Source organism: Homo sapiens, chromosome 2 (assembly GCF_000001405.40).
Source record: "Homo sapiens chromosome 2, GRCh38.p14 Primary Assembly".
Lineage (NCBI taxonomy): Eukaryota > Metazoa > Chordata > Mammalia > Primates > Hominidae > Homo > Homo sapiens.
In genome coordinates this window covers 8,006,637-8,031,527 of record NC_000002.12, presented here as the reverse complement: position 1 = coordinate 8,031,527, position 24,891 = coordinate 8,006,637, and the positions used below count along the sequence as shown (strand labels likewise).

General features: G+C 45.6%; 1 long non-coding RNA gene across 1 annotated transcript in view, besides 4 other annotated features; it reads left to right on the top strand.

Moving 5' to 3' along the window:
- LINC00299 (long intergenic non-protein coding RNA 299) overlaps positions 1 to 23,757 on the top strand; it is a 320,649-nt gene extending 296,892 nt beyond the window's left edge. The window contains exon 9 of the long non-coding RNA NR_034135.1: positions 22,769 to 23,757. This is a non-coding gene — a long non-coding RNA (long intergenic non-protein coding RNA 299). The remainder of the gene's footprint in view (positions 1 to 22,768) is intronic.
- Positions 2,062 to 2,561: an enhancer, noted in NCBI's record as "H3K4me1 hESC enhancer chr2:8169097-8169596 (GRCh37/hg19 assembly coordinates)". NCBI's record gives its function as "activates a minimal SCP1, AML or CMV promoter by ChIP-STARR-seq in primed H9 embryonic stem cells {active_cell/tissue: H9 hESC(primed)}" and the evidence as "EXISTENCE:reporter gene assay evidence [ECO:0000049][PMID:30033119]".
- Positions 2,562 to 3,063: an enhancer, noted in NCBI's record as "H3K4me1 hESC enhancer chr2:8168595-8169096 (GRCh37/hg19 assembly coordinates)". NCBI's record gives its function as "activates a minimal SCP1, AML or CMV promoter by ChIP-STARR-seq in primed H9 embryonic stem cells {active_cell/tissue: H9 hESC(primed)}" and the evidence as "EXISTENCE:reporter gene assay evidence [ECO:0000049][PMID:30033119]".
- Positions 10,493 to 10,993: an enhancer, noted in NCBI's record as "H3K4me1 hESC enhancer chr2:8160665-8161165 (GRCh37/hg19 assembly coordinates)". NCBI's record gives its function as "activates a minimal SCP1, AML or CMV promoter by ChIP-STARR-seq in naive H9 embryonic stem cells {active_cell/tissue: H9 hESC(naive)}" and the evidence as "EXISTENCE:reporter gene assay evidence [ECO:0000049][PMID:30033119]".
- Positions 10,994 to 11,494: an enhancer, noted in NCBI's record as "H3K4me1 hESC enhancer chr2:8160164-8160664 (GRCh37/hg19 assembly coordinates)". NCBI's record gives its function as "activates a minimal SCP1, AML or CMV promoter by ChIP-STARR-seq in naive H9 embryonic stem cells {active_cell/tissue: H9 hESC(naive)}" and the evidence as "EXISTENCE:reporter gene assay evidence [ECO:0000049][PMID:30033119]".
- Positions 23,758 to 24,891: the final 1,134 nt, after the last annotated feature.

The following is a 24,891-nucleotide window of genomic DNA, read 5'->3' as shown; positions in this document are numbered from 1 at the left end:
CTGACACTTTGCTTTTGGGCTTCTGTCCTCTGGATCTGTGAGAGAGTAAGTTCCTGATGTTTAAGCCACTCTGTTTGTCACACTTTGCTAGGACAGCTCGGAAAACCAACAGGACACCTAGCTGGGCGGCTGCTCCTTCCCCAGCTCTCTGTATTTCCTTCACCTCCCAAATGGATCTTCTGTAACTGATCTGCTTTGGAAGTAGCTGTAAATGACACAGTAATAGTGATAGGACTTGTTGCTATTTCTGCTGCTGTTCTTGTTTTATTATTTTCACCATCGTTGCAGTTGCTTGGAGGAATGAAGAATTCTGCCCTTGACATGTAGATCCTTCTGGAGAATGCCATCTCAGCCATTAGTCACTGGAGGCCTGCTTTCACCTCCAACATTCTGGAACATTCTCAGGCAGGCTGATAACTCAGGGTGTATGTGACTCTCAGTGCAGCTTGACAGAGAAAGTGATTCAGTGTTCCTGGTTTCTGTTTGAGGCTGTCACAAGTCACAACAAACCGTGCTACAGCCCAGTGGTGCAAGCCCCATCTTGGACCAAGAGTGGCTTCATCCAGCTGGAGCAATGGGTTAGAGGCAAGGGGCACCTGGCAAGCTGGCAAGATGCAGCTCTGCTTGGGACTGGCAAGTTCCCGAGGCTGTCAGAGCATGACTTAAATCATAGCAATGCTTGCAGACATAGAGGCAGAGGAGTCGTTAAATATAATCTTTGCAATGAAGCAGGTTCCACGTGGGTCTGTGCTGAGCTGAACGGTGATGAATACAGCCTTCCTTGCAGCTGTGGGCATTAGGTGAGCAGACCTCCTTCCCTGGGAGGCAGTAACCACCATCCTCCTCTGCTTGCCCTGAGGATGAAAGCTGTCCCACTGCTATGACTGCAGGCCGAACACATCGCCTGCCTATAGGAGATGCTCAGTACATGGAAGTACATGACCCAGTTATTAAATGGGTGAGCAAATGAATTAGGGGAACAAAATAAAAACGGATGACATAACAACAAACATAAATTGTGGGATTCTAACATTTCAGTGTCAAGTAAATGGATTTTCTCATCACTCCAAAATAGCTGAATAAAACGTGTGCGTTTGTTTCTCAGCCCTTTGTGTCATTTGACACAGCTGTCTGTCCCCTTCAGTAGGTGACATTCCGCCCATTCATTTGAGCTGGGACTTAGGGAATCTTCGCATGCTTACATCCATGCTGACCTTTTCACTGAATTTGACAGTCCTCCATCATTCTTTCCCCAGGAACACCAAGGACCCAGTTCCATTCCTTAATTCCAATGAGCACATCCTTGACTCATGACATTACAGGTTCTCCATGAAAAGACCAGAAGGCATTTGGAACAATGGTATTGATGGGTTCTCAGTATAGAACTTGTGGGTTGAGGAACCCACAGAACAGAAGTGGCTTAGAAAGAGATCACCATGATGAGGCTTCGGGCTAATCAAACCATTGGTTCATGTTAGCATTCTGACAGAATTCCGTATCCTCAGTGTGTCCTCACGACTCCCCTCAGAGACAGACGAGGGGCGTCTTTAAGAACTCAGACCTTCTCGTCAGCCTTAAACTTGCCATCTGAGTCCCCAGAGAGTAGAGATGATTATTGTTCCTGATTTGAATAAGGATGCTGAGATTCAGGTAGGTTAAGCAAAATCTCCAAATTCAAGCACCCTGTTAGCACTGGGGCTGGAAACTGTAGATGTTCAGGGCTTTATGGAATAGGCCATGCTGCCTCTACACAGAGCCAATCCTCTGAATGTAGAATATTCTTTTAAGGCACTTAAACACTTTTCATTCATAATAAAAGGGGTTTGGATGTCAGAGTTAGGGAAGAGGTGCCAGTTTGAATCAGTAAGAAGTTTTTATCACAAAACACTTCCTAATTGACAAAATACAACTCTATAGCACTTAGGCAGGTAGATAGCATATTGAGAAATTGGTAACAAAGAACTATATGTTCCAAACTGATATGGGACAGTAATGACCACATAATAAATGAGTTCGCACGCAAAGAGGTTCTTCTGCAGGGCCTGAGCCACTGAGACATCTGCCAGTTTAATCCACACAGAAACTACACTTGGTTATGCTTTTAGCTTTCTTGTGACAGGCTAGGAGCAAAGTAGATTCTTCACAAATAATCACTGGGTGGACATTATTAAGAATGATCACCTCCAGACACCTCTGACCTGGACAGGTTCTGCCTTTAGTTCCTCCAATGACAACTGGCTGCCCACAGGCTAATCCCCCAAAGCTTTATTTAGAGTGAAATTCAAGGCTCTTGCAAATCAGCCACAGATGCCTTTTCCAGCCTCCTCTTCAGGTTCTCGAGGATCCTCATCCTATTGTCTAGCCACGTTCACAGCTGCTCCTCACCCTGGGCCACGCCTTCTCTGCTGCTGTGGCTCAGGCCACGTCATAGCTCCTTCTGCCTTGCTTGGCCTTGGCCAGGGAGGCAGGGAAGGGCAGTGATGCCCCCAAAGTTAAGTCTCTTCAGAGGAAGAGCTGGGGCCATGGGCTGCTCCAGCACCCCCGTGAAGGGTCGAGGGGGACAGGTGATTCTGGGTCTATGAGGCAGTTTTCCTGGGGAAGTGGCCCAATTCCAGCCTTTTAGTGCAGGGTCCACCCTCAGGCCGTCAGAGTGATTAAATCCAAAAGGCTGTGAGGTGGGACCGAAATCACTGAGCAGGTTCCTAGCCAGCTGGAGGGATGAGCCTCTTCCCCGAGCTCCACATATCAGAGGGGGCAGCTGGGACGGGCCAGGGGGAGCCAGGGCTGTGCTGTCTGGGGTTCAGTGGCTTCTGGCTCAGTGGCTCTCTGCTGTGCCATGACCGAGTCACGTGGAGTCCATGTTTCTTGGATCCACCTGAGCTCAGATTCTCATGGGTAGGAACCAGGCTTAGGATTTGCCTGTGAGAAAGGAGATCCTGGAGGCGGTAGAGGAGACCATGGTCCTGCGCGCTGCCCGGTCTCAGCCCTCCCTCTGTCCCCTGGAGCCAGCTCCTGCAGCTGTGGCAGAGAAGCTGGACCTCAGTGTGCCTCCCTGGGTTTTGGCTCCAGCAATAATCAGGAACAAGCCCAGCCAGCCCAGAGTGTGACGGTGTGGCCAGGGGACCCAGCCCAGAGTGTGACGGTGTGGCCAGGGGACCCAGCCCAGAGTGTGATGGCGCAGCCGGGGGACCAGCCCAGAGTGGGGTGGCGCGGCCGGGGGACCAGCCCAGAGTGGGGTGGCGTGGTCAAGGGACCCAGCCCAGAGTGTGACGGTGTGGCCAGGGGACCCAGCCCAGAGTGTGATGGTGCCACTGGGTAATCCGGCTAGAGTGTGACGGTGCAGCCAGGGGACCCAGTCCAGAGTATGATGGCGCCGCCGGGGGAACCAGCCCAGAGTATGATGGCGCAGCCGGGGGACCCAGTCCAGAGTACGATGGTGCCACCGGGGGACCCAGCCCAGAGTGTGACGGTGCAGCCGGGGGACCCGGCTAGAGTGTGACGGCGCAGCCGGGGGACCCAGCTAGAGTGTGACGGTGCAGCCGGGGAACCTGGCTAGAGTGTGACGGCGCAGCCGGGGGACCCGGCTAGAGTGTGATGGCGCGGCCAGGGGACCCAGCCCAGAGCGTGACAGCCCGGCCAGGGAACCCAGAGGACAGGAGTAATCCTAGACTTCCCGTCAATCTCAGCACGGGAGCACTGGAGAGCCACAAGTGGGGACACATTTCCAGACCATAAAGTGGGACACTCAGTATATCCACACCATTTCTTGATACGTGGGCAGTAGTTATCTCAGGCTGCCTAACCTATTATCCTAGCACCCAGTGCCTGAAAGCATTGAACACTTATTGCCTCGCAGTTTGTGTGGCCAGGGGTTGGGGAGACTCGAGCTTTGGTTCAGGCTGTGGAGGACCAGGTGCACCCTCGTGGTTGACAGGCCTCGGGTCCTCAGGGATGTTGTCGGAGGCAGCAGTTTAGTGTTACATGGGCATCTCCGGAGGGCTGCTCACAACGTGGTAGTTTGCTTCTCCTGGAGCGAGGTTTGAGTGAGAAAGAGAGAGAGAGAGAGAATGAGAGTGCCGCTTCCCAACGGAGTCATAATCTTCTTATAACCTTATCTTTGAAGTGATGTCCCAACACTTGGCCATGGTGACAGTCACCAGAAGCTGGTCATGGAGCTCTCCTAGACTCAAGGGGAGCAGGTCGTGGGAAGGCATGAAAGTGGGAGGTGGGCATCGCGGGGGCTTCCGTAACGGCAAGCATTGACTGAGCAAGGATCCTGCTCCAGGGAGGACATCTATTTCTGAGGATGAGACATGAACAGTCCTCGTCTCTGCTGACAAGGGGTACTCAGGGTGGACAGGAAAGAGGTGTGAACACACTCTTAGGGTGTGCCAAGGCTGGCTTTGATGAGGGCCCGTCTTGAGTACAATGAGGGCAACAGAAGCATCTGGGTCTGCACCGGTGGAGGGTCAGGGCTGGACTCCAGAGAAAGCAGCCTCTGAGAGGAGGTTTGGCGACCCCACGACTTTAACCCAGTGGATTACTGAAGCATCTGGGTCTGCACTGATGGATGGTCAGGGCTGGACTCCAGAGAAAGTAGCCGCTAAGAGGAGCCTTGGCGACCCCATGACCTTAATCCAGTGGATTACTGTTGCCTGGAAGAATGGACGAAGATACACAGCTCCACTTTTCACCAGCCTCCACCTGAAAAGCTCTACCTGAAAGACTCTGCCTTTTGAACAAAGGGATGATGATTCATGGGGAGGGTCTCTAGAATTGAATAGTCTCTGATTTGTGGCTGGGAGAGGGACCCACAGTAGCACAGACCACCCTTGGCTATGGCTCTCTAAGGCCATGTGTGTCCTCCACGGTGTACTCTAGGGGTTCTGATCCCACTCTGTCTTCACAGCTGCCTCCAATTCCAAAGCATTGGGTTTACAAACACAGCAAACTGCACACATGGCTGGTCTGTGCTTGGCTGAGAGCTGACACTTGAAGTCCTGGTCTTCTTAGTAACTGCTTCCATCTGGGCTCACTTTCCATTCTCACCCTGCATGCAGAGCTGTGCATTCCAGGGTACATAGAGAGGAGGGCCATGGCGAAGGTGTCCAGCACACGTGGTGAAACTCCTTGGACTCACGGTGACTATTCCGCTCATCATTGCTAGGGGGTGAATCTCAGGTGCAGTTCTCTGGAGGCAGTTCAAAGTTATGGGAAATTGCAAAGTGGCTCAAAATAGAATTGGGGACGTAGATGGTGAGAACGTGGGGTGTGGCTTCCAAGCAGGGCCGGATTGCAACCCTGCTCCGCCACAAGCTAGACTTGTGCCCACCCTTTGCTCCTCCATGTGCTGTGTAAGGGCAGGATCAGGAAGCTCCACAGACCTGCTGTGGAAGCAGCTGAGGCCACGTGTGCTGATGACCAGGATGTAGCTGATGCTTTAATAACATTATTCCTCCCACCTGGAAGACAGGATTGGTTTTACATCTGCATTTTGATTCTACTCTTACTTGCAGATCCCTTCCAGGTATCAGAACACAGCTGGGCAAAGGGAGGTCTTCAGTCTGCCATCACCTCACTCCCCACATTTCCTGAAAGTCCCAAATAGTGTGTGGTTTGCTCATTGCGCCAAAAGCTAGTTAGAGGGGTAAACAAATTTTTATCTTCATAGTTCTAGATTTGCAAAGTTGTTTTTTTTTCTTTTTTTTTTTTAAAGAAACATTAATTCTAACAACAAACTCTCCTCAGAGGCCATTCTGTCAGATAATTCTCCCTCCACTCATTATAAAATATAAGTTCAGTGAAATTCTAAAATTGTACCTATTATCATGGCTTATTTGGGGGGAGTATTCTGTTTGTTTTAGCATCAGCTGACATGCAGCTTTCTTAATTGTGGCTCATATGTATATTATTGAGAAAACCACCACAGGCAATTCTGTCTGGTCTAACTTTTGCAAAATCATGGTACACAGGTCATCACTATCCTCCTTTACTTGGACGAGGACCCTTTTGATCTGGAAGATCTTGTTTTAAGTTGTATTAAGTATGCAACAAAAATGGTCATGAATCCATTGATATTAATGTAATCATGGGTAATCAACTCAGATGCCTTCAGAGCACGGAGAGTGGCAGCATTGCGGGAAGTTGCTGCAGGTAGCATAGTGGGGACAGGAACCAGAGAGTGCAAATCCTACCTAGAAACATCCAGGTTTGCATGAAAATAAAATACGACACTGGTGAAAACATCTGCAAGCCAGGAGACAGAGGCTTCGGTTTGTAAAAATTGGTTGGAATGTATCACGTGGGGGAGGCTGTTTCTTGCCTTGTGTTACTGCCGATTTGGAGTGACGCAAATCCACAGACAAGGATACCTCTGCAGACCTGCACACATGCATCTAGGTAATGGATCGAACCTTATAGGCACAGCCATGCAGCCAGTCATGAAACCTCAATGAAGTACCTGAAAGGCTACAACGGAGGGCTCCTTTCAAAGCCTCAAGATCAAACTGAGTAGTATGCAGAGTGTTAACTGAAGGATGGAGTCAGACTCTGGGACAAATTAGGTCTCATTTCTGTGCCTCTGTTCACTGGGACCCCAGTGAAATTTCTGAATCTTGGGTAGCCTCAGCTCCCTCACTGGAAAGCAGAGATACCATCAGCAGCTCCCTGGTGGACTTGTCGAGGGGGTTCAGCTGGGTGAGGCAGCCCGTGGTCAGTGCTCAACAGAAGGACGCCTCTGCGACTGGGGTTCTTCCTTCTGTGCTTCCAGGAGACCTGAGAGGCCAGCGGAGAGTAGAGGTGGTGGGAAGGCATGGAGGGGATACCCAGGGTTTCACTGGACATCAAAGGACGTCCACTATTCTCTAGATGGCTCAAACCCTCTTCCCGGCTGCCTGGGTTTTCTTTCTCGGGGTTGCCCAACCCCTTTGCCTCTCTGCTGTGTCACTCATTGTTGGTTTCCTGGCTCTGGTCCTCACCCACATTAGCTGCACCCAGCATGGGGCTGGCATGGTATTTGCTGGATGATTCCATGAGCCAAACACAGTCTTCCTGGGGGCCCATTCTCTCTGCAGCTGCCCAAGATGTGACATTTCTCCCCATCTTGTGAGGCACTCTCAGCCTGGGTGCTGTGTCCTTCCTGCTTTTCCCTGGTGTCCTGAACCTCAGACTTCAGGCAGCTTTGGGCTTACACTGCCAGTGCCTCCACTTACCCCTCTGTGCCTGACAGTCACCTCCCATAACTTCTGAATTTAAGTGGCTCAAACAAGTCACATGCATCTGTCCTCACTTCCATCCAGCCCTTCATTCTGTCTCTGGGAGACACACTGCCCAACTTGTCCTCACTCCTCAAGGTCATCTGGTCACCCTCTCTGAGCTTTCCTCAAGTGTCAACACTTGCTACCATTGCCCTTTATTTCCAGAGCCATCTGGTGACCCTCTCTGAGCTTCCCAGGCTGCCTGAACCGGGACCTCTGCATATGGCCATTCTGCCCCGAACTCTCCTAGCCAACTGGTCTCATTGCTTCCCACCCCACCTGCACCCCTATCTCATCTGCATCCCCTCTCAACTGTCCATGGTCTGCCTCTCACCAGGGAGCTGCATGCGCACTGTCCCTGCAAGACCCTTGCAATTACAGAAAACACGCAGCGTGACTTCATAGAGAGTCAAATTTGCTTTAATTTGGGGGAAATGCAATGCCACTAATTTTAAATTAAGACATATATATACATATGTCTTAATTTTATATATATATATACACACACACACACACACACACACACACCCCTACCCACACACGTATATATAGAATACACCGATCTAGACTTTTTTTTTTAAAGAAGAAAAGATTTGAAGTAATGTCATGCTTGTAGTTTCCAGTTTAGGCTGTGCACCCCGATTCTTAGAGCTGGACATTTACTCTGCTGTGCTGGTGGCGGGGAGCTTCAGATGCACAAGGTATGGGGTGCCTCATCTTGAAAACTAATGGCAAAAATCAAAATAGTAATTTCCTGCCTATGAGGGAGCTCCCCCATCACCTCTAAGGAACTTCCTGCCTTGTGGCTCACTCTTCCGTGTGCCAGCCCCTTGGACACACTTCCTCTTTTCTGTCCCTAATGTATGACAAAGTTAACTATGAGCTATCACCTCATAGCTCGAGGATTTGCCTATTTATTTTTCACTTCCCAAACTGCCTAAGTTCAGGCCCTCAGAATCTCACTGTGTTGGTCTGTTTTCATCTGCTGATAAAGACATACCTGAGACTGGGCAATTTACAAATGAAAGAGATTTATTGGACTCACAGTTCCAAGTGGCTGGGGAGGTCTCACAATCATGGTGGAAGGTGAAAGGCACGTCTCACACGGCTGCAGACCAGAGAAGAGGGCTTGTTCAGGGAAACTCCCCTTTTTAAAACCATCAGATCTCGTGAGGTTTATTCACTATCATGAGAACAGCACAGGAAAGATCTGCCCCCATGATTCAATTACCTCCCACTTGGTCTCTCTTACAACACGTGGGAATTGAAGATGAGATTTGGGTGGGGACACAGCCAAACCATATCATGCACGCATGGATCCCTTCAGCTTCATACTTGCCAGTGTCTCTGCTCCTTCTCAATTCATGTCACCCTAAAGCTTGTTTTATGTTCTGTTCTAGGTTGAAACCAAAAGACATAAAACAAGCAGATATATGTATTTTTAGATTTCTTGAGGAAAGGGTTAATGAGTTCCCCACCCCCCGCCAAGGTTTTACAATCATACAGATGAAGCTCGGCTTTTAATATAAAAAGATTGTAGATTGTAGCAAAGCTGAGAACATTCTGCTCTCCCACAGCTTCTGATCGAATTCTAGGCTCCCAACAGAAGAGGAGAGCTAACTGGAATTTGTGTAAGGACTGAGAAAGCAATGGTGGTCAAGGTAATTCCTGTCTTCGTGAAGCATCTATGGTTATTATCTTCTCTCTCCCAGTGACACTCTATGATAACTGATGTCTCATACCATCCAGAAACTGAGGCCCAGAGAGCTTGAGTCACGTGTCCCTGGTCACAAAAACTGTTCCAGCTCCGAGCCCATTATCTTTCCTTGGAATCATGCCTTCTCTCCTGTGTGACTAGGATAGTTGCCTTAGCACCTAGTCAAGTGTCTATCCCATGTGAGTTGCCAATATTTGTTTACTGAGTAGATAATTTAGTTCACATAAAGTCCTACATGCACATGGATATGTATACTGACATATTTCAATCTTCTAAGAATTTTTCTTAACAGGCTTGGAAAATTAAGTCAGTTCAAAACTACGGTAACTTGAGAAGGCTAAATGTTTTTCTTTGTTTCATTTTCCTATAACTGGAAGGATATGAACATGACCACAGGAACACATTTTTTATAGAATTGTTCAAGTTATTCTTTGCTTTGACATTTGCCAAATACTTAAAAAAAATCTAAGGTTATTATGCGTGTGGACCATTCTGTCTTAATCAAGATCTGCTCATCACTGTTGTGATGGAAAAGAAAATCCAGCCAAAGAAAAGATTACTAACCAGTTTTGATAAATGGCTTGTGACTGTCAGCAACATTGATTCCAACAGATCTGAGACAATAATTTGAGGGCATTTTATCTTTGTTGGGTATTGGAAACTTTTTAAAATTATTTGACCAGGACACTTACATGGCACACCCTACTGGATTTAATATATCTCTAATTTGGCAGGAAGTAGTCAAGTTTCCAAAACTTTGGAAAGTAAAGTCTTTGCTACAAAATGTATATTTCACTTAATCTGCAATTTTTGGAGGTCTTTGGGGCTGAGAAAGCACTCATGAAGCACATACTCTCAAGACAGACAGGACCTCACCTTTCTGGGTCACTGCTTTGCTAAGGAGACGCTCCCCAATGTCTTGCAGGTGGATTGTGGGGTGAACAGCCAGAGGCTGCCTGGGTTACACATGTTTCTAATACTAAGTTCTATCCCTGACTTTAAACTGGTTCCCACATTTTAAAATCACAAGCAGGTTTAGCAGACATGTTCCTGCAGTAGGGAGAAAAAAATAGTTTTCTCCCTACTGCAGACGTTATGGTGGCTCACATGGCGCCATATTCATTTTTTTCAGAGAGCAGTGAATTGTTAAAGTGTGATGAGTTTTTCTTGGGCAACCCCATGGCAAGGTCCAAGCCATCCTGAATCTCCAAAATGTAGCCCAGATGATGCCCAGGAGCATCAGTGTGGTCTTCTTGTGTCCTTGTTCCTCACTCAACAGTGTATCCAAATGTTGCTGAGTCTCAAACGCATGGGCAGGTGCATGAGTGCCCCTCTCCATGGAGTTATGATGACTTCCATGCTGCATTAAGATCCTCCTGACAGCCTCTCAGGCTCCCTCATTCCTTCAGCTCTTATTTCACTTTCTTGTCTCAGCTTTTGCTCTTTGGTGCTGCCTGGTTTGAAGAGTACATTCCTTTGGCCCAGGTAAGACAGTCCCCTATTCTGGGCCCTGCGTTTTAGAGAATCCCACTCCAGCTTCTCCCACTATGCCCCTCCTCACCTGATGAGGCAAACATGTGAGGCTGGGCCCACTGGGAGCCCACTCCATCTTCTCCACTTTCTAAGCTCTGAGTCCCCATGACTCCAGAATTCCCTAACCAACCAGCCCTAAGTCTCCTCTGAGGCGTGCATCAGCTCATCCCAAGGAGGAACCATGGCACTGGTGTCACCCCACGGTAGTGTCTTTCTAAAATTCTACACGCCAGGCTGCACACCCCTCATCACAGGGCAGGCATGGCCGCAGGGGTGGTTATTGGGAAGGGGAGGTTGCAGCTTGACTCCCAGGCTGGGGGCTCCACACTCAGGCTCGGAGGGCCCCTGCACTGTGGAAACGAGCAGAAGCTGGTGGGGAGAAGGCATACGTCTGGGGGCTGAGAGCCTCCAGTTCTCCTCTGGTCCCACAGTGTCAGAGCCGGGCCTGGGCTGGAGGACTCTCCTGGAGGCCTCAGCATCCTCACAGGTCAAATCTTCAGCCCCCGGTGCTTCCCTCCTGGCAGATGAGAAGCACCCGGGCCTCTGGTCTTTGTGCCAGTGACACCCGAGGAGTCCCCCCATGGCCTGGCCCCTCCCTACAAGGGCACCAGGAAAGTGGAGCCTCTGGGCAGGGTCTTCCCTCTGGGGTCAATGCCAGGCTAACTCAGGACTGTCCCATAGTCTCAGACTATGCTGGAGTGGGGAGTGTGATAGGCCATTCTTATTCCATACGTGACTTATCACTGAGGAACATCTGCCGAGGGCTGGCAATAAGGTCACTCCCAGCATCTCCCGGCTCCTTAACTACGTCTCCCTTCATTCCACACTCCCATTGATTCCACAGGGATGACATAGTTGAGAAAGCTGGACCATGCTCCTGACTGGCCAGGCTCCTATCAGCAGAGAATGGGCAGGACAGGGAAGAAGGATGTAAGGAGGCTTGCTAAGCACCGGGAGCCCTCCACAGACAGTGCTGCACTCGCTCTGCACAGCACTTGCGGGGCAGGGCTTTCCTGCCATTTTACATGTAGGTAAGTGAAGTCCCAGGTAGCTGTCCAGGCTACTCTAGGGACCCGCTGCTTGGGAGCAGCTGGGATTGAAGGCAGCTCTGTTTTGTTCCATATCTCTGTTCTTTCTATTGCTTCAAACATCTGCACATGACGTTGTCTTTCTAAAAATCTATGTGTCTCAGGAGACAGACATTCATCTTTCTTTCTTTAGACCCCGCCATGGGCCACACAGACATTGGGTTGGGTGGCCCACTCATAGGATAAAGCAATTTAAGAGAAACAATGATATATTGTGTTTATAGGGTAAGGCACAATAATGCAGAGATGGCACACAGCACGGGCATACACACATGTACACACAAACATGCACTTACATGCACACACATACATACACACACACATATACACACATGCACATACACATACACCCTCACACACATACATGCACACACACACACAAACCTACTGCTTGATTGACAGAGTGGTTATTGGCTCTGAGGTCAGAAATGTTGGTATGTATTTGTCCTAATCAACCAATTTGCAGAAATCCCAGATTTTCTGACCAAACAAGGCAGTAAGATCAGGTTTCACCAAATTTTTACTGGATTCCACTTATTAAGATCCAGAATGGATCTTTGATGTTTCCACAAAGAATCAGGGTTAAGATGTTAGCCTTCTCTGCCCATGTTCTGGCATTTTCCAGCCACATAGGAGCCAGTATGCTCCACTGATGTGACCACGATGTTGGAGAATATTGAACACATTACCGAGCTCCATCGCCATGAGTGAATGTATGGCATGCATTTGGGCGGCCCTAATGGAACACAATTGGAGTCCTCCACTCTCGCCAAGGCAGGCTCCACCCATCCCTGTGGCCTGGTTCTAAATTGCATTCCTGAACCTATAATCATCTTGCGCTTGTCAGGACATATGGCGGCTGTCCTTGACTTCCATTTGGGATTTCTCAAAGGTCACCATTGTGAGGAGCCATCAGGAATGTGGTTCCTCTCTCTAGCCATACTTCTCCCAAGCCCTGGGGTTTGAGCCGCATGCCCTCAGCCCCCTTTATGTCCTGCCTTAGCAAAGTCCTTTTTCTTCTTTTGAGTTCAACAAAGTGGAAATTCAAATTCTTCTCTCTCCACTTTTCAATTGCCAATTCCCAAGCCAACTCTTACCTCATTTAAATAACAGAGTCCTTGGAACCTCTATTTACTCCTCAGTCAGCCTTCAGTGCCTCCTTCCTCAAGCAGTGTCTCAATTGCAGGGTGGCACGCTTTGGCCCTAAACTCCTCTCCCAAGTCCAACCCTCTTCCTGGGAGGTGAACACAAGCTGTACAAACTTCAAATAATAAATGATTATATTTGGTAGGGATCCTATTGACAATCTAAACAACTCTTCCCTTTTTACCCTTGGTGAAACTGGGTTCAGGGGAGATGAGATAATCAGTTCAATGCTGCAGGCATCTGGTCACTCAACTGGGAAGAGGATAAAAGTGTCTTGGCACCCCATGCTCTCCTTCTCATGCCCTATTTTTGGGTTCCAGTTGCATTTAGAACACTCATTAATGCTTTTTTTTATTTTCAAATCTTGCTGGCCTACATGCATATATTCCTGCCTTGCTTTGTTCCAAAAATTTTTTGATGCAGCTTGTGAGACTATAATGCAATAAAATAGCAATATGTAGATGGATGTTTTAAGTCAATATGTGAGAAAATATAGATAAAATGGTATGATAAAACCAGAGGGAAAGTTAGTTATAGGAATTTATTCCATAAGGTGTTACTTGCTTAGTGAAGTTGAATTGAAAATTAAAGCATGGGCTCCCTGGCAACCAAAGCAAAAAGGGAAAGCCTACAGTTGAAGATTCACACTGTCCATAAAAGAAATATCAATTACTCAGAAGTAAGCTTTTCCTGGCCACATTTTGTCTTATTTCTGGCTCTTTTTCTTTTGTCTGATGACATACATGTCATATCTGTCATTCAACAAAAGGTACATTTATTTTCCTTCCATTCACTCCATCCAGGCTGCTGAACCATTCCCTGGCATTATTCCAAACTGAGGCCACTCTCCATGGAACAATGGCTGGCAGCTCCTCTTTGGTAACACAGCCTCCTGAGCTTTCCTTGTTGTTCTCTCTCCTTGTTTCTGCCCAAGGTTGTGTTCTTTCCTCAGAGACTGGCCAAGGGCGAACTGAGGGATGGCAGCTGCCATGTGACATGTTTGCTGTGGTGCATTTACATTTGCCTTGATGCCTGAACAGCTGGACGCACAGGCAAGAAACTCCCATCGCTTGTGTCCATGTGCCGTTCCCTGCTCCCTGGCAGATGCAGAGGAAGACAAGGCAGGGAATCAAGGTCTCCTGTCATATCCACCTCCTGCCACCATCACTGTCTGCAGACAAGACAGCAGGAAAGCCCTGTCTCCCTGTCCGTCACCAGGAGCCAAGAAAAAACACTCCAGGTGCAAGTGGCAGCTCAGGAGACTTGAGGCAGGGTGCATCCTGTCCCCTGCAGAAACCAGCTGTTTCTTCACAGTTTTTATATAACATCTGTTTTTATTATCTTTCTATCTCTTTGCCTGTTTGTCATCCATCCATCCATTCATCCATCCCTTGCCAGTTTCCATAAATTACTTGAAGTGACATAGAATTTCAGATAACACAAAAGGATAGAGTAAGGCGGTCAGGGCCAAGCCTACTTGCCTGGAACCAGGGGCCTAGTGGGTAGGATAACAGAGCCTTTGAGTGCCATTACCCTCTAATGATGAGAAGCTACTGTTCTTTCTCTAACGACTTCAACTTTGAACTTCCTTTTCTCTTGGGTATCTTGTAGATTGACAAGCCGTTTCTTAGGACTATCCAGGTTCCTATTAGCATGCTCAGCCAGCACATGCCAGATGATTGTCCAATAATAGTACAACATTTGTGTAATGCTTTACAACAATCACTAATTGATTCTCAGGAGGAGAGGATTCCTACTGCGCTTAGGGATTTTGGTGTTCTGTTTTGTTTTCAGACTTCTACTGAAGTCACTCAAGAAGAGCTAGAGGACTTCAAAGGTCAAACATCGCAGGTCACAGCTCTGCCCTTTTCTCAGACCTTCTCATAGCTTGATCAAGGATGGAGTGGGTGGGAGTAATGTTTGAGAAAGACAGTTGAAGGGGGTGGAGGGAGAGACTATAGTACCGGGGAAAGAACACAGAGCTGGAGGTAGGCTTAGACCTGAATCCTTGCTCAGCAACTGGCTTGCTCAGCAACTGGCTTGCTGGGTGATCACAGGTAGGCCTCTTTGCCTCTCTGCGCCTCTGTTTCACCAGCTGAGAAGGATGGCATTGAATTAAGTGAATCTCAGACGTTTCTTTAAGGCAAGCATTGGGAGTCTGTGCACTTGCTAACAAAAGCTTTTCCTGAAGAAACAGCGCATGGTGCCCAGCTTGCAAATCTCAGGACTCTGCTTCATGTCAGGTTCTCAGTTCCTCTCTGCCTCACACTCCTTTATAGCCCATTACAAAAGCTGAAAGGACAAAAATGAAGATAATGAAACACAATGCAAAGAGTGAATCAGTCACTAAATCCCTCACTCCATACACAGAAAATTATCACCAGCTGTTGCCCAATTAAATGCAACAATCCAGTAGTGCTCAAGCAGTTCACAGGAGATTTCAGTGCATGCTGTGTGCCCAGCCGAACCACTTCCACGAAAACCTGGAGGATTTCAACATAAAGGCACATTTTTCTATAAACTACATTTGTGTTTTCACTAGAAGCATTCCAACACAAAGACTTGGTGAACAGCAGTGGACTCTGTTAGCAAACTTTGCTCTGGATTTTTGTACACATTCTGCCTTTCGCATCATGTAGAAGGGAGTCTGAAAGGAGAGCTTCTCATTACAAGTGCAGGAAAGACTATCTTAAACTCTTAGTAATGCCCTGTAAGATGAGCAGATAAATGCAACGTCATCAGTAGGTGCACTCTTGCATTTAACAACTCATCATCCATTTATTGTGCATCCTCCAGGTGGCAGGCAGTTTGCTAAGTTTCAGAGGATAAAGACCAATAAGACAGAGTTTCTGCTATGAGGAAACTCAAAGTTCAGTGTAATTGACAGGTGTGAAAATTATAAGACAACGGTACAACGTTATAAGGGTGGTATTAGGATCTGGGATCAAAACAGCAAGCATTAAGATGCTCAGAGGAGTCAGAGGAAGCTTCTAGAAGGAGCTGTGTTAGAGCTGGGACAAAGGCATGGCTAGCTCCTAAATTTAATATAACCCATTTTTTCCCTATAATGTAGGGGTTGTTTAAGAAATGGTTTTCTGTTGGCATGGATGTGGTGAAAAGGGAACACTTTTACACTGCTGGTGGGATTGTAAACTAGTACAAACACTATGAAAAGCAGTGTGGAGATTACTTAAAGAACTAAAAGTAGGTCTACTGTTTGATCCAGCAATCCCATTACTTTCTACCCAGAAGAAAAGAAGTCATTATACAAAAAAGACACATGCATGTTTACAGCAGCACAAATCACAATTGCAAAAATATAAAACCATCCCAAATGCCCATCAATCAATGAGTGGATAAAAAAGTTGTGATATATATATATATCATATATAAATATATATGATATATTATATATATTTATAATCTATAAATGATATATGATTTATATGATATATATGATATATGATATATATGATCTATACTTATAAGTGAGGGCTAAGCTATATTTTATATCATATATGTTTATATGTATATATAATGTATAATGTATATTATATAGAGAGATATTTTTATATATATCATATATGATATAGATTACATACATATATATTTATATTACATATATATCATATATGATATATTACATATATTATATATAAGGTATATATCATATATGATATATATATATGCATGTGTGTGTGTGTGTGTGTGTGTACACATCATGGAACACTACTCAGCCATACAAAGGAATGAAATAATGCCATTTGCAGCAACCTGGATGGAATTGGAGGCCATTATTCTGAGTGAAGTAACTCAGGAAAGGAAAACAAAACATTATATGTTCTCACTTATAAGTGGGAGCTAACCTATGATATTTTTCTTTTTAAACATATGTATTTAGAAAAAGATCCCACAAATTCTAAAATGTATTTTTTAACATTTCATTTAAAAATATTTTCTAATTTCCGTTATGAGTTATGATTTCTCCATAGGCTCACGGATTATTTATAAATGGAATTCTTAATTTCTAAACATATATGTATTTTATAATTATCTTTTCTTTGTTCATTTTGACTTCTATCATAATTGCATTGCCATCAGAGGGCACACTCACTATAAATTCACTCTTTTAAAAACTGGTCATTATTTGTTTATGATCCAGTATATAGTTAATTTTTGTTACTGTCTTTGGTGTGCTTTAAAAGTCCCTGTATTCTGTAGTTTGGGAGATAACATTCTATGTACTTATAAGTCAAGTTTATTAATCAAGTTCTTTAAATCTCTATATTCCACTTTGTTTGTTTGTTGTTGTTGTTGTTTTGGTCTGCTTGAATCAATCAGTAATGAGAGAGTTGTGCCAAAAGTTTTAATATGATGGTGAATTTTTCTATTTTTCCTTGTAGTGGTAGCAATTTTTGTCTTACGTATTTTGTGACTATATTATTGACTGCATATAAATTTAGAATAGCTTTTTATCTTCTGGGTGACTTTAATGTTCCATTGTTGTGATTTGATCCTCTTTATGAGTGAGTTTTGCTCAAAATGTATTATATCTAATATACTAGGTTTCTTTTGGTTGATGGTTGCATGGTCTGTGCTTTTCTTTCTTTTTACTTTTGACAGTTCTATACATTTTGTTTAAGATATGATTTATATGTATAGATTATATTTGGATTTTGTTTTTTTCACTCTGTGGCATTTTTTAGCTTTCTGCTGGGTCATTTAGTTCATTTATATTAAATGAAATTACAGATATATTTATATTATTTTGTGCTTTCTATCTATCTATGCTTCTTTTCCCCTTCTTTCTTGCATTCATTTAGTGGCTACCCTAAGAATTGTAACACTACTACTTAATTGATCTATATTAACAAGTGCTTTTCTCCTCCTCTTGAACAATACAGTACCACATAAACTAACTCCATCTCTTTGCCTGCTGACTCACTGGCTGCCCATCTCTCTTGCCCTCGGGAATGTCAGGTTCAGCATCTCCACAGCTAACTGTGGGCCAGGGTCCCTGGATACCACCCTGCCAATCATTACAATCATTGCACCCACCTTCCTTTTAATGATCAAGCATTGCCACCTGGCTTTTGATTTTGGGGAATCCTATTGTGTTATGGATATCAGGGGACACAGTTCTGTATCAGCATTCCTACTGTCGGTCTTGACTTGTAGAAAGCAGCCGCACTGAGTTTTCCCGTGAAACTGATGCTCTATTCAACAGGACATTCCTTCTTGCTTTGGAAAACAGCCTCCATGCTCTCTTGTGATGCTTAATTGGCTGGTATTCCACTCCTCCCTGTTAAAATCAAGTGGTCTTCTATAACACATTAGTGCCAGCAACCCCATTTCTCTGAGACTTTTGATTTCTTTTTTCATGTCTGAGATGTTCTGAGATTTCTGCCTCACTTAGTATAGGCTGGTGCTTTCTCCTGGCTTCCCAGTGCCTCCACAGTGTGTTAGCATCCTCCCCCATGGCCCTAGCCTGCATGCTCAACCCTTGATCACAGGAGATTTTGCCCTTGTCCTCCTATGTCTCACCTTGACCTTGATCCCAGGCCTTCAGGCTCCACTCTCCCAGCTCCTGCTGATACATGTTGGTAAGGGCTTGCAGCTCTTTTGGGGAACAGTCCTTCTCCTTTTCAGCAGGCCCAACATGTTCCCAGCCATATTGTGCTGAGACGTAAGTGTTGACCTGGTAGCTAGGAGAGCTGGTGGGATAGGTCTTAAGTAGGGGTGAGGGATAGGGAGGAAGTGGTTCTGGCTCTCATTCTCTTGTAAGGCAGTGGTCACCAGATCTTAGCAGAGAGGAGTGGGTTACTTCTGCTCACCCATAGGTTTGGACAGATGAAGGGGCGTGAAATTTTCAGAAGCACTGATGTCTGTGCTCCAGCCCCAAATCTCAGCACCCAACTTCCCAAATAGGGATCTAATCTTGGCGTGGTAGTAACTTTGCTGAAGTGGAGATTCTACTTCCACTGGAGCTCTGCCACACTGACAATGAACTTCTGGACCTAAATCTCAAATTTTCTGCCCCAAAGTATCAATAACATTCAGCAATGGTCATTGGAGTTTCACGTCCTCAGAATTATCCTATCCCTTGAATTTCTCAAATGTGTGGGGCCTCGCGCCCTGTGCATGCCCTGCTGAGTGTCCCTTCCTAGTTCGTGACTGTGAAACGGACAATTGCAGTGCAGCATGCTGGGGCTCTTCATGCTTCTGTCCCTGGCTCCTAGTGACGGGGTCTTCACTGCCTGTCGGCCGAAAGGCTGCCCAGTTCCAGAATTCCATTTTAGAGTCAAATTCCTGAGACCAGGCCTGGCACCTGCTGCTCTAAGTCAGGTTCCTCAGGCAGCAGATACAGATAGAAATCTGAGTCAGGGAGTTGATGGCAGCGTGCCTCTATGGAGGAGTGAAATGAGGACAATTGAACAAATGAAAGAGTTTAAGTGAAATGTAGTTAATGCAAAAGCCTCACAGATCCCACAGGGAGTTCTGAACTCAGTGTTGTTCTATCTGGAGGCCAGGAGGCCAGACCTTTCCGCTCTTTGCACAGGATGGAGGCTGTCCCTGTGGAAAGGGAAAGGGTCTCCTGCAGAGGCAGCTGTGTTGCATTGCAGGCAATTGGGATAATTCCTGGAGAATAAGTTAGCCCTGAGCTGTCAGTGTTGGTGGAGCTCCTCTGGGGAGGACAATGGAGCGACTGCCCGAAACGTAGTGCTTGTCACTGGCTTTCTTAGTTTGAGGGGCTTGGGCTGCTTGAGGGCAGGTTCAGAAGAGTTATTATGGACTAATTTGTTTTTAAACTGGTAACGACATTTGATCTGCATGGACCAGGAGGTTCCACATTCCAGAGATTCTGCTAGAGAGATGTACACCAAACAGGTTGAGACTTTAAATAAGAAAGAGTCTCTCTGTTCTCCCTCATATACTCATTATTCTTGTGAATGATCAGGATGAAAAAAGCGGGCATTGAATTTCCATTGAAGAGAAACCAAGCTCATATCCAAGAATATCATCCAAGTATATTCTTACAGGGAATGTGAAAAATCAGAGAAGCTCCCCAAAGAAATTCTGAGTCTTGAGTTCTGAAAAATGCGGCCAGGGCGGTGGAGGGTGGGCAAATGTGCCAAGCTGTTCTTCTGTGTCTCAAGGGCGGTGATTTCATGAAACGTTGTTTCAGGTTTGCTTATTTATAAATCAGCAAGATTGTGGAAGGCAGAAAAGATGACTAACATGACACTGTGGACTGAATTGTGTCCCTCCAAATTCATATGCTGAAGCCCAAATCCCCAACATGACAGTTTTTAGAGATAGATCCTGTAATGAGATCACAAAGGTGGGACTTTAATACCACTAGTGTCCTTATGAGAAGGGGAAGGAACAGGGATGCAGGTGCACAGAGACAAAGCCATGCAAGAACACAGCCAGAAGGTACCATATCTAAGCCAGGGAGAAAAGACTGAGGAATCCAACCTTGTGGACACCTTGATCTCAGCCTTCCAGCCTCCAGAGCTGTGAGAAAATAACATCTCTTGTTGACATCCCCAGTCCATGGCACTTTGTTATGGAGCCCTTGGCTGACTAAGGCGCTTGGCAGCTTGTAAGTCGTTCCAGGCACACCAGTGTGCCCCAGGACAGTGGTTAGAAAGCCCTCCAATACAGAAATGTGGAAATATAGCTTAGGAGCACATGCATATGTAGGAAAAGTTGAGGAAACAAATAAGAAAAGATACAAAGAAAACCATGGAAATGATAAAAATCCAGTTCAAGCCAGTGGTTACCTCTGGGAGCTTATCCCTGGGGAAGGTAGAAGAGAGAGGTGGGGGAAGAATTGGTTGAAAGTGGGCTTCGACTCTGTTGGCAATATTTTGTTTCTTCAGCTGGTTTTAGGTGCATTGTTATTGTTTATATTTTTCTTTATTTCTTTATATCATTTTGTATGCATTTTCTCATTCATATAATATTAGAAAAAAGAATAGTAAAATATTTCCAAGAGACTGATTAATAAATATTTACTCAACCTGCTTTTCATGGTACTGATAGAATAGACAGAAAGAAGTAATCCAACACATGCTTGGCTTTATTTTTCAATGAAACTGTGTTGCCATTCACCAAGCCATCCTTTCTGGTCTGGTTCTGGACCCAACTTATAATTGGATTTTTGCTTTTGCAAGGTGAACGGAGTTATGGCTGCAGCGCTTGCATATTTATGGATCATACCTCCACAGTGTGATGTCTTTAGTTAAAAGATGCCCATTTAACATGAAGGTTTGATTTCTGCCATGAGGCCAGCCATCACTAAGACTTGCTGCAGATTCCATTCGGTTGTGCTTGCAGAAGTTTTTATGCCCCATGATGTTCAAAATAATGTGAATTGCTATGGTCTGAATAAAAGAGGCTCAGCAAGATCCCACACCCCTTCTACCATATGAGATCACATCAAGAAAGTACCATCTAAGGATCCGAAAGCAGGCCCTCACTAGACACTGAATCTCAAAGCACCTTGATTTTGGGCTTCCCAGCCTTTAGAAGTATAGGAAATAAATTTCTGTGATTTATCAGCCACTCAGTCTGTGCTATTTTGCATAGCAGCTCAAATGGTCTAAGGCACTAATTATACCTGACATTTGTTATTTACTTCACCAGTATCAAAGTGCTCCCAAAGACCTTAATATAATAATAACTCACTAGACCCTACTATTATGAGACGGAGACTATTCCATCCACTGAAGTTCTCCTGAAGGCAGGGCAGGCTATGTGGGCTGCCTGCTGGCCTGGGAAAAGCCCCAGCCTGGGGAATTGTACATCACTCCCTAGAAGACTCGACTGCAGGAAGACTTAGAGGAAAGGGGTGCAATTTACCAAATAGCAGAGACTATATGATATAGGATGTGATGCTTCCAAACAGCACCCACACCTTTAGTAAAATTGTGAGGCTGAAATGCCAAAGGGCGTTGGATTAAAAGATGCAGCTGAATAGAATGAATGAGCACAGAACTGGGGGCAGAGGCATTGAGGTGGGAGGACTTGCAGAAATTATGGAAATGGCGTGAAGCTCCCATTCCAGATTCTAACCCGATTTCACAAGCGGAGAAAGTCCCATCCAACATCTGATTCCACAAACAACAGAGACGGGAGATAAATATGGCAGGTGCTGGGACTGTCCCATTGCAGGGGTGCAGAAGCAGAAACCAGAGCCCACGGAGGCGAAGGAACAGATGGTGCCAGCAAGTGGCAATGCCAGAGGTTAAGACTAAGGCTTCTCCCTCCACATCGTTTCTCTTCATGAGCCCAAGCTGCCCCCAAACCCCAGGGACCAAGCATGGCCTGTGAGGGTTCTCCTCCAGGGTGCAGGTACCATTCTGTCACCAGCAAGGAAAGCTGATAGGAAGGAGGTGAGAGCCGTAGATCAGGAGGACGTTTCGGTGGAATCACAGGGTATAAGCGGATGGTGCTACAAGGTAGGTTTCCGCTCCCATTTTCTGGGTGTCAGTGACATTTCCTAAGGCTTTACATTATCTCTGACAATCAGTCCTAATGACAGCCTTTGCGATGGGTGGCCTGGCCGGCCTGACTCAGCTCCAGCCCTGTGCTGAGGCAGCAGGAAGTGATCTCATCAACTCTGTGGGAAGTTCCTACATTATACTGGAGAGAACAGAATCCAAATAAATTAGATAGAAAAGAAAGCCCTCATCAGCAAGAATGGGAGTTTGAAACATGAGAAATAACTACGGTAGGATGTTGGGGGCATTTTAAGTGGGAAATATTATTAACTTTGATTTAGGAGCAGATAACTTGGTGTAAAACAAAATAAAAACAGGCAGTCAGTTCAAAGTCTCTTTTATTTAGCTCCACTTGCTATGTGTATTACTCAAAACTTATAAAATAATATAATTTTCTCTCAAATAACATTTAAAAACTCTTTGATTAAGGAAGGTGTAAATGCTCCTTAATGAAATAGGTAACTACCAGGCCTGGATTTGATTTTGTTTTTTTTTTTTTTTTTTTGGTCTTCTCTTTAGCTTCCTGTCTCCAAGGGGATTTTTTCCCACAGAAATATATTGCTGATTGGATGTTGCCTCTCTAATTTTGGAGACCATATGTTCTAGGTATTCCGGGAAAAATCTGCATTTCAAATCCTGGATCCATTGTTCCCAAAAGCCATGTAAGAATCCCAACAGAGATAGGTCCCTCTCATGGATATGTCCTATGTCCCAGGGATACCGCTCAAAGCATTTTGTGGCTGAAGACATTTAATCTTTCATAGAAACTCCTGAAGAAGATGTTATTGCTATTATAATCATATGTATTTGGAAATGAAGACTTTGAAAGGTTCTAACTTATTCAACATTTCTCAACCAGCATGTGGCAAAGTTCTGAAAGTCTGTTATTCTAACCAACATCCTACCTTGAGGAGCAATGATGTTCACCTGTCTGGTTGCCACAACTCACGTCCTTCTGTGGGCAGCAGAGTTCCAAGACGTTCCCCAAGATCTCATTTTCTGGAGGTGCATGTCTCCCGTGACCCCCTCTTTGGATTGCCCGCAGAGCCCGTGAAGATGGTGTTATCACTCCTGTGATTACTTTACTGATCAGGTGACTTTGAGTCAATCAAAAGGTAGATTATCCAGGTGTGCCTGATTTGATCAGGTGGTCCCTTAAGGAGGCTTAAAATGACCCTTTCTGAAGTAGAGTAATTGGAAAAGTAAGAGGGTCTATGGGTGGGGTCACCTGGCAAGGAACTGAACTCAGCCTCCATGAGCTCTGGCCACCAGCTGACCTTTAGCAAGAAAGCAAATCTTTCTTTGGTCAGTCTCCACAACAGGACGAAGCTGGCTGAGCCCTTGCCTTTGGCCCTGTGAGATGCTGACCCGAGTATCCAGCGAACACGTGCCAGAGTCCTGACCCATGGAAACTGAGATGATGAGTCTGTGTTGCTTTAAGCCACTGTGTCTACAGTAATTGGTTAGACAGCAATAGAAAACTAATAAACCTCCCTCTTTTTCATTTACCATCTTTCTTTCCTTCTGTCCACAAATATTTATTGATCATTTATTCATCTATTAGAACATGTGCTAGGAACAGTAGCTACAACGGCCAGCAAAGCCAGATAAGTTCTCTGCCCTCACGTAGTTTATAATATCATGAGGGAGACAGACATAAATCAAATAACATGGATACATGAAAAGCTGCAACTTAGATGACTGAGGAGACCCCCATAGCACCATGACAGCTTGGTCTAGCCAGAGAGCATAGGAAACATGTTCCTCGTTGCATTAGCAATTAAGCAAGAGCTGACAGATGAGCAGTAATTGCCAAGGCCAAATTGAAGGGAAGGACAATGCAGGCAGAGGGAACAGCATGAACAAAATCTCTGTGGAGGCAAAATCATACAAGTGCAAGGGACAAAAAGAAGGTCCTCTGACTGCAGCTTGGCCACTGGGACAGGAGATGAGGCTGGGCTGGTGCATACAAAGCCTAAAAGCCATATGAAGTGCGTTTCCTTTGTAGGAAGAACAATGATGTCTTAGTCAGTTTGGGCTGCTATAATGAATTACCATAGATTGGGTGGCTTGAATGACAGACATTGATTTCTCACAGCTTTGGAGGCTGGGAAGGCTAAGATCAAAGTCCTGACAGATTCAATGTGTGGTGGGTCTGCTTCCTGGTTTGAAGATGGCCTTCTTTTCCTTGTATCCTCACATGGTAGAGGCAGTAAAGAGAAAGGAAGCAAGCTCTCTCCTGTCTCTCCTTATGGGGGCACACATCCACCACGAGGTCCCCAACCTCAGAACCCATCGCCTCTCAATGCCCCCACCTTCTAATACCATCCCATTAGAGCTTAGGGTTTTGACATATGAATTTGTGGAGGACACACACACATGCCATCCATAACAAATAGAAAGCCAATTACAGGAGAATGTCAAGCAAAAGGAATGCAGAAAGGCAGGAAATGGGCAGAACAGTGTAAAGTAAGTAGTATAGACCCCAGGAGAACAGTGAGCCTCTACCTGAGTGATGGCACAGGGAAGGAGAAAGGCGGGTCAGGGGGCAGAGAGGAGGCAGGGTGTGTGGTTTGGAAACTGATTAGATGAGTGGAGCAAGAGAGAAGGGTAGCCAGCTTTGGCTTTGCTGTCCTTAGAGA